The sequence below is a fragment of the Homo sapiens genome, chromosome 10 (genome assembly GCF_000001405.40).
Source record: "Homo sapiens chromosome 10, GRCh38.p14 Primary Assembly".
Lineage (NCBI taxonomy): Eukaryota > Metazoa > Chordata > Mammalia > Primates > Hominidae > Homo > Homo sapiens.
Window position 1 is genome coordinate 5,287,290 of NC_000010.11, and position 9,930 is coordinate 5,297,219.

At 44.9% G+C, this 9,930-nt stretch overlaps 1 annotated feature.

Annotated features, from left to right (window-relative positions):
* Positions 3,898-5,097: an enhancer, noted in NCBI's record as "P300/CBP strongly-dependent group 1 enhancer chr10:5333150-5334349 (GRCh37/hg19 assembly coordinates)". NCBI's record gives its function as "activates an origin of replication core promoter dependent on BRD2, BRD4, P300/CBP, MED14 and CDK7 cofactors, with strong dependence on P300/CBP, by STARR-seq in HCT116 cells {active_cell/tissue: HCT116}" and the evidence as "EXISTENCE:reporter gene assay evidence [ECO:0000049][PMID:35650434]".

The window sequence follows — 9,930 nt, forward strand, 5'->3', positions numbered from 1 at the left end:
TTGCAACGTTAGGATGATAATATGTACACGCTCTGCCTCAAATTTCAAACAGTGGATAGTCTAATGACTACATCTGAGATTCTGCCCTAGCAAGCTTCCTAGAACAGCAGGACAAAAGACAGCACAACACACACGCAGGAAAAAAGCTTCTCGTTCCTGCAGTGACTTAAGGTAAAAACACCAATTAGAGTATTAAGGAAGCTTCTTTTTCACTTAGTGCATTTGAAATGTCTGAATATTAAGCACGTGCACGTATTACAATTTATTATGGTAAATGAGGGGGTTATGGGGAATTTTGTTCTATTCTCTATGGCACTTTTTTCTGTCTTTTCTAAGAGTAATAAACATTACATATAACATATGTAAGACACACATTATGCCTAATGGATGAAATGGATAATTATGTCATTGAAAACCTACTGACCCTTTCTGGCAGCTGTTATCTCGTGATATCTCATGACAGAGTTCTACCAAGATTGAGCCCATCCATTGGTCTCTCATTTTGGGGGCAATCCCTCCAAAGCAACCCCAAAGCTGCCCTTACGTTACCGTGACCAGAGTGTGACACTTCAAGTTCTCTGCCATGAACTGAGTGGATGGCTGTATTTCAGTCCTTACTGTGATGTTGTGCCCCCTAAGTCTTCCCATCGAATTACCTAATGTTCTGAATCACAGTGGCTTCTTACGTGACAAAAGGTTTGGATGGTCGAAACTCCCTGGCAAATACTTCCAGCCCCAACAACCTCACAGCAAAGCTGCCAGCAAGTATTCATGTTGGTTTCCACTTCCCCCTAGGCCCTTGGCCCTTCACATTTCTAACCAGGAGTGGAGCGGCTCTGAGCAGGTGGAAGATGAGAGCAGCCTGAGCATGGGTTTTTTTTTTTTTTTTTTTAATGTAAGAAGTAGTGAGTACTTACCAAGGACGGTTGTTGAAGAATTAAATAAGATAATGCATGGAAAATACAATACATGAAACCATTTGATATATGTTAGGTCACAATAATAATAATAAAAAGAATTATCCAAAAAATTAACCTCCAAACTCTCAGAGTCAACAGCTTATCATCCTCTTAGTGCAAAAAAATATAAGACCCTTCAGCCTCCTGGGGTCCACTTACATGATCAGGAGCATAAGTGCCAAATCCCAGCATCGGCATGACATGTCCATCATTCAGCCTCACGGAATGGCTTTGCTTCAGATCCATCACCACCCACAGCTCAGCTAATCTGACTCTGCCTTTCCTTCCATTTCCTGACTGAGAGCCCAGTAGGAGACAAGGCTGCCACGTTCTTTATTTCCATCAATACAAGATGGGCAGGGCAGAGATTACAGCTGCCTATAATTTCAACATGAAGTTGAAATCAATCCATTGACTTTGTTCTGATTCTTCCATGTCTCTGCAGGCCTGTCTTACAGGAAAATCGTACAGAAAGATTTGCATGCTAGAGGAGTTTGAATTTTCTCTTCAGTGTTGTACACACTTGATTTCTAAGTTAAAAAATTTAAAATGCCAAAAGAAACTATCAACAGAGTAAACAGACAACCTACAAAATGAGAGATTTTTACAAACCATGCATCTGACAAAGGTCTAATATCCAGCATCTATAAGGAACTTAAACAAATTTACACGAATGAAACAAACAACCCCAATAAAAAGTGGGCAAAGGACATGAACAGACACTTCTCAAGAGGAGGCAAACATGCAGCCAACAAATATGAAAAATGCTCAACATCACAGATCATTAGAGAAATGCAAATCAAAACCACAAGGAGACACCATCTCACACCAGTTAGAATGGCTATTATTAAAAAGTCAAAAAAATGACAGATGCTGGCAAGGTTGTGGAGAGGAATGAACGCTTATACACGGTTGGTGGGAGTATAGATTAGATCAGCCATTGTGAAAGACAGTCTGGTGATTCCCCAAAAGACCTAAAGTCAGAAGTGCCATTCAACCTAGCAATCCCATTAGTGGGCATATACCCAAAGGAATATAAATTCTTATATTATAAAGATGCATGCTTGTGTATGTTCATTGCAGCACTATTCACAATAGCAAGGACATGAAATCAACCCAAATGCCCATCAGTGATGGACTGGATAAAGAGGATGTGGTGCATGTACACCATGGAATACTATGCAGCCATAAAAAAGAATTAGATCACATGCTTTGCAGGAATATGGATGGAGATAGTGGCTGTTATCCTTAGCAAACTAACACAGGAACAGAAAACCAAATACTGTATGTTCTCACTTATAAGTGGGAGCTAAATGATGAGAACACATACGGGGCAACAACACACACTGGGGCCTATCAGTGGGTGGAGGGTGGGAGGAGGGAGAGGATCAAGAAAAATAACTAATGGGTACTGGGCTTAATACCTGGGTGATGAAACAATCAGTACAACAAACCCGCATGACACAGGTTTACCTGTGTAACAAACCTGGACATCCTGAACACGTACCCCTGAACTTAAAATAAAAGTTCAAAAAAAGCATGCAAATATGTCTTTGATAATGGCACCAGACTTATTTTACAAGGTATAAAACTATCATTAGGCTAGTGAATCTAAACACTAATTTTCCCAGAGTACCTAAGTTAGCTTCCTCACCATTCCTTTCATCATAAATCCCATAACAATACCTCACTGAAAATTTATTGAACAAAGCCTGACACCTGGTCCCAAGCACACACGTAACAACATTTCTTAGGAAGACCTACTCCTACTTTCATTATCTTTGTCTCCTGTACCAAGGACCGTTTCGTTTTTTGATTCTCATTGTCTTGTTTTCTTTTTTTTTTTTTTTTTCTTTTTTTGAGACGGAGTCTCGCTCTTTTGCCCAGGCCGGAGTGCAGTGGCGCGATCTCGGCTCAGTGCAAGCTCCACCTCCCAGGTTCACGCCATTCTCCTGCCTCAGCCTCCCGAGTAGCTGGGACTACAGGCGCCCGCCACCACGCCCGGCTAAATTTTTTGCATTTTTTTAGTAGAGACGGGGTTTCACCGTGTTAGCCAGGATGGTCTCGATCTTGTTTTCTTGAATCCTTTTGGTGAGAAAAAATTGTCTGAAATCATGGATAAATGTCTGTATTCTTGCCTTTCTTTCAGCCATTGCCTCTTTCTGGAACAGCTTTCTCTATCCCACCTAGTTTTCAGCAGTTTAATGACTTCTTACTTATCTAAAATGCACCTCCTCCAGTCACACATCCTTTATGACTCCTTCTATGATCTCCCTAGATGAAGCTGATGCCCTTCCCTGCATACTCTTTAGCTTCTACCGTCCAGGCCAAAAAACCACATCATTCAAATTACATTCTCAACTAATAAGGAACTTCTGCTACATAAAACACCTAACTCATGTTTTCTTTAATGTTTCTATTATACTGTGCTTCTTGCAACCTGTATTTGTGCCATCCGTATTTTACAGCCAATTATGAAACATACAATTATAATTTATCTTACTTTCAACTCATCCCTCTGGCTGGTCAAGGTCAGAACTCTGTCTGATTCTATGAGTCCATGTGGTTACATTTATCTCAACATTGTGTTTGCTATAAATTTGATGAGAATATCCTTTATATTCCATTGCTAAAGCTTTTGCACTAAATAGAGATGTTCCGTATCAAGTCACAAGAAAATTCTGTCTTCATTGATGTGAACTGCCTGGAGTCCACAATTCAACAGGTTAAAAATTTGTCTAACGTTCAGTCCACCCGCCAGCTAAAAACTGAGGCCTTAAAGAACTGAGCAAGCTTGTTCTCCTCTCAGAGCTAGTCTCAGCCACCAGCATCACCTTTTTAGCTGCACTGAAAGAAATCCTGGCGGGTTTTCTCTAGTGGGGACCACCAGATAGGATGATGAGGGGATAAAGAATTTCTTCCCACCTTCTTGGTGATGTCTTTGTCCCTGTGTCACTCTCATTGAAGTAGCTCCCCAGTCCCTACTGTGTCTCTCCATCTCACTCCTCAGTTTTAGTTTCTTCAGAACAATTGTGATCAGAGCAATTGCCTGAATTATTCACACCAAGTGAGTTATTTATCAGAGGAATAAAGGATGTTTGAGCCATTCCATATCAAGTATCATCTTGTTTTAAAACATTTTGCTGGACAGAAAGAAAAGTCATTATTTACAGCAAAACTACAAAGAGTTGGATACAGCCCCAAAACTCTGATAGGAGATTTAACCATACAGAACAAGAGTTCAGCAAGGATGCTGCAATTCACGAGGAAAGGCTAACCCAGGGTTATGAGAGAAATGTTAACATTGCATGGCGATAAAATGCCAAATACCTTGCTGTGGTTTGAATGTGTCCCCCAAAGTCCATGTGTTGAAAGTATAATCCCCAGTGCAACAGTGTAAAGACGTGCCCTCTAAGAGGTCACTAGGTCATAACGGCCCTGCTGTCATGAAGCACTGACCTTATTATTGCGAAAACGGGTCCATTATCGTGAGAGTGGGTTTATTGCAAAAGTCATTTCAGCCCTCTCTTGTCTCTCATCCTCTTACCCCTGCGCTCGTGCCCCCTGCCTTCTGCCATGGGATGACACAGCACAAATGTCCTCACCAGATGTGGGGCCTGTGATCTGGGACTTTCAAGACTCCAAGACTGAGCCAAACAACTTTCTGTTTTTTATGAGTCACTCAGTCTCGGCTATTCTGTTACACAACAGGAAACAGACTAAGACACACCCATATAATCCTCTCTGAATAAATGGGAATCCATTGTCAAGCAACAAAGAGAAATGCTGCCCGACTCTCTGGGGAAACACACCTTACCCCTCTTTTACCACCCCCACATAAGTAGGGAGCCAAAAAGATCAGCTTTCAGAGTTCTCAAAATGCCTTCTGAAAAGTCTGGTTAAGACCACACCTTCTGACCGGGAGTCTGGTTCGTTAAGACTGCTGTGACAAAGTACTGTACACTGGGAGGGTTATAAACAAAAGACATAGATAGCTCACAGATCTGAAAGCTAAAAGTCCAAGATCAAGGTGCTGGCAGATTCAGGGTCTGGCGGGGGCCTGCATCCCGTGTCACAGACAGCTGTCCTCTCACTGTCCTCATGTGGCGAAACAGGCACGCAATCTCTCTGGGGGCTATTTTATCAGAAGCACTGGTATAGTTTGGACATTTGTCCCTTCCAAATCCCATGTTCAAGTTTGATCCCCATTGTTGGAGATGGAGTCTAATGGGAGGCTTGGGGGCCATGGGGTAGACGCCTCATGAAGAGATGAATGCCCTCCCAGGGGAGGGGGGTAAGGTCTTACTCTATTAGTTCCCATGAGAGCTAGTTGTTAAAAAGAACCTGGCCCCTCCCCTCCTTCCTGCTTCCTGTCTCACCACACGATCTCCGCACACACCAGCTCCCCTTCACCTTCTTCCACACTTGGAAGCAGCCTGAGGCCCTCACCAGAAGCCCAGTCCTGAAACTTCCAGCCAGCAGAACTGTGAGCTGAATAAACTTCTTTTCTCTATAAATTACCCAGCTTCAAGTCCTCCTTTATAGCAACAATAAATGGACTAAGAGGGGCTCTAATCCCATTCATGAGGGTTCCACCCTCACGACCTAATCACCTCCACAGGACCCACCACCAAATAGCATCACCTTGGGGGTTAAGGCTTCATATACGACTTTGGTGGGGATGTAAAGATTCCATTCATTGCACAGGGCAAAGGGAGGCCATAGCAGCAGGGTCATAGTGTTCTGGGGCTGCTCACTGCCCCTCACTCCCAGGCCTGCCCCACCCCAGCCAAGGCCTTCATGCTGCTCTGGGCTACCTCTCCCAGGTCCTGCATCCCAAGCAAAGGTACAGACTCAATTGAGATCTCCTGAGACTCACTCCCTGCCCCTGCAACAAGATGGACATGTCCTTGTCAAGTTCTTCTCTAGGAAAATGTGGGCATCACATAGAGACTCGTACCTACCTGTGCAGAGGTTTTCCAGAGCCTCGATCACCCCCTCTGTCTCATCATTGGTTTCTGGCTTCAGTCTCACCTTCTTGGTGATGTCTTTGTCCCTGTGTCATTCTAATCAAAGTAGCTCCCCAGTCCCCACTGTGTCTCTCCATCTTACTCCTCAGTTTTAGTTCCTTCAGAACAATTGTGACCAGAGCAATTGCCTGAATTATTCACTTATTTTGTGGTATGTTTTCATATTTATTGACTGATTTCTCCAACACTAATCACCACACCTAGAAAAGCTCCCTAGTATGTGGTCAGTGCTCAATAAATATTTGCGGAATGAATGAAATTGAGTTCTAAGCATAGGCACAGTGGGGTTTTTTTTTTTTTTAAGTTTTTCTGTGCTCTGTTCTTATTTTCTGTGATCTGCAAACTATCTCTAAATCCTTATGAAAGATTGCGTCCAACACTGTTTTTTGCAGTGGGAAATTGAGAGGCCCATGTTGCACTCAAACAGAGCAGCAAAGCATTCGTCATCCCTCCCCTCAGGGCTGGGACTAACAGCAGGGCCTTCCTCAGCAGAGTACAGCTATGCCCAGCTGAGTGACAAATGCTCTAGTCAGAGAACACAGCAGCACAGGAGGCCAGCATGGTGGCCACAGGGGGAGTTCACGCGTGGCCGCTTGTGGACAGGTGCAGGGTGGCAGCCCTGAGGAGGTTCAGAACACCAGGGGCATCTTGAGGTAACAGCATCAGTCATGAACCAGGATATAAAAATCCATGCTGCTTATTTAAACAGGATGTGTAATCAGACGGTTGGAGTATCTACAAAGAAGCCAGTCAGGAAACAATAAAGCAACCCAGAGGCTTTTAAACACAGGAAGTCGCTACCCTCCTAGGCTAGAGAAACAGAGGTAGCAGTGCTGGAGGCAGAGCCCGGGGTCCCTGGAAGAAGCAGCAGCCATGGAGGGCCTGAGGGAGGCAGCCAGGACGACTGGAGGGATGGAAGCTGCTGCTGTGTCCCCTAGAGAAGGGAAGAAAGGCACCTGGACTCCAGCTTCCCTTTCTGCTCTCAGCAGCGCCTCACAGTGGCCAAGTCCAGCTGGAAGGCAGCAGGCAGAGAGGGCAGCACCCAGGGCAGAAGAGGCCGCTCTCCTGGGCTACAGCAGAGCAGGAGAGGGAGGAGGAGGGGCACTGAGCAGACAGGAGTGTCAGTCAATCAGGCTGACCCTGGCCCCGCATCCTCAACGGGATGTTAATGAAATACCGCCTTCTTCTGTAGTTCAGGCTGATGGGGCAGGAATGCTGGGTTATGTAAGTGTCGCAGTGTTCACTGAGGGGGATAACACGAAAAACTTATTTGTTCCTGGGAAAATTTCTTAAATCTCATTAAGGCTTCTTAAGCATTCACAAGATTAAAGCCACCTTTGCCAGAGGTTAGGATTAATAGGTGGGGCTAAATAGCCTACCTGAAATTCAGTTCCAGAAATATTTACTGAGTATCTTTTATGTGCAACTGTTCCTAGGTTTTGTTTGTTTGTTTGTTTGTTTGTTTGAGACAGAGTCTCGCTCTGTCGCCCAGGCTGGAGTGCAGTGGCGCGATCTCGGCTCACTGCAAGCTCCGCCTCCTGGGTTCACGCCATTCTCCTGCCTCAGCCTCCCGAGTAGCTGGGTGGGACTACAGGCGCCCGCCACCACACCCGGCTAATTTTTTTGTATTTTTAGTAAAGACGGGGTTTCACTGTGTTAGCCAGGATGGTCTCGATCTCCTGATCTCATGATCCGCCCACCTCAGCCTCCCAAGGTGCTGGGATTACAGGCGTGAGCCACCGCGCCCGGCCCCTAGTATTTTTTTTTAAATCAGGCATGTAAGAATAAGTCCAAGAGTTCCACATTCAATTTTGTGAGGCTATATCTTCACATGTTCCCTTGGGCTGGGACTAAAACAACAGCCTTCCTTGAAACTAGGACGTGGGAGTGATGGTACTAGGGCAATTGCATCATGATGAAAGAATACCCGAGACTGGGTAATTGATAAAGAAAAGGGGTTCAATTGGCCCATGGTCTGCAGGCTGGACATGAAGCATGGTGCTGGCATCTGCTTCTGGGGAGGGCCACAGGGAGCTTACAGTGACAGCGGAAGGTAAGGGGGGAGCCCGTGTCTCACACCACAGGAGTAGGAGCAAGAGAGAGCAAGGGGGGACAATGCCACACTTTACACAACCGGATCTCCAGAAACTCACAGCGAGAATGAACTCATCACAAGGGGATGGTGCTGAACCATTCGTGAGTGATCCAGTCCATGATCCAATCACCTCCCACCAGGCCCTGCCTTCAGCACTGGGGATTACATTTCTGCATGGGATTTGGAGTGCACAAATATCCAAACCATATCAGTACTTTTTGCTGAATTTTGAGCCTCTGGTCCCAGGGGTAAACACCTTCCCAAACTGTGACCAAGAAGACGAAGGAAGGGTTTCCTATCTCTCTGGGGCATGGATTACACCAGGGAAAAACATCAGGTGTTTGAATGCCAATGGCTCTGCCATTTGTAGATTGTAACACATGATCAGAAGAATGCAACAGATTGAATATCCAGCTTTGCTAAGGTTGCAGAGTTTGGTCTGAGCTAGGAGTCCACATTCTTCACCAAGGTCTTCCTCAGAATCTATGTCATGGGACCTGTGCTTGCTGAAGGGAGATAAGCCACAGCTGAAGGCACTCCAACTTCAGAGAACACAGCTCCCTTTAATACGGAAAAGCTTGCTGCTATCAGCACCCCAAGTTTTCTCCTCTCCCAGCCTTGGGTTCTCTACATGCATGCACTGCAGGAAAAGAGGAGGTACTCAGCATTCAAAAGAGCAGTCAGGAATAATGGCCATTATGAAGAATAGTTGGAGGTTCCTCAAAAAGCTAAAAATAAAACTACCACTTGATCCAGCAATCCCACTACTGGGTATGTATCCAGAGAAAATGAAATCAGTATGTCAGAGAGATATCTGCACTCCACAGCAGCCAAGATATGGAACCAACCTGAGTGTTGATGAACAGATGAATGCATAAAGAAAATGTGTTATATATACACCATGGAATATTATATTGCTTCTTTTTCAACCAATTTGTTATTGGTGTATGGAAATGCAACTGAGTTTTGTATGTTGAGTTGGCATTCAGCACCTAATTCCCCAGCTTCCTTCTCCTGTTGCAGAGCCTCAGGTTGGCATACCAAAATAACATATCACCCTGAGTCCCGGAATGTCCACCTAGAGCAAAGCCCTGGACACTATGAATGACAGACAGAAGTTCATTTTGTTAAGCTGATGAGATTTGGAAGTTGTTACTTCAGCGTAATTTAATCTATCCAAATACTCCAATCTTGAGTCAGTTGCCTGCAACCATGTTTGGTTTCAAACACTGTATTAGCTGGAGCTCAGTGCCAGAACCAAGAACTGTTCTATGCCTTTTAAGCAGAAATGAGATAAATAATTTTGGTTGCTTAGAAAACACTGGTAAGGCCTGGAGATGGAAGCTTAACATGACCTCTAAGAACTGCTCCAAGAACAGTGTGTACCTGACCCCGCACATGAGTGTCTGCACCTGCCCCATCAGGAAAGCTACCTCGGAAATCCTTGCACTCAAGAACATACCTCCATCCATAGCTACGATGGCCAGAATCGGGAAGCCACAGCCACACAGTGCCCTGGACACAGGAGCCCAGGAACCACTGCACAGCGGGTGGTGCAGTGAGTGTAGCCACCCCACATCTGCCTGTAGTCACCTTGGAAGCCAGAGGCTGTGCCTGCCACCTCTAACTTTCACTGCCAGCAGAAAACACCAAATGCCCTAGGATTTGGCTGCTGCTTCTTTCTGCCTTCCAACACTTGTGTGGGTGCTTCAAAATGGCAGAACCCAATGAGCATATAGAAGTCGTATTTGCAAGGTCTTTCCACATTGTCTTAACCTCTTTGTGCTTGGCCAGTTTTGCCAATGTGCATTTATTTGTTTATTCAGTTTGATATATCCTAATCTTG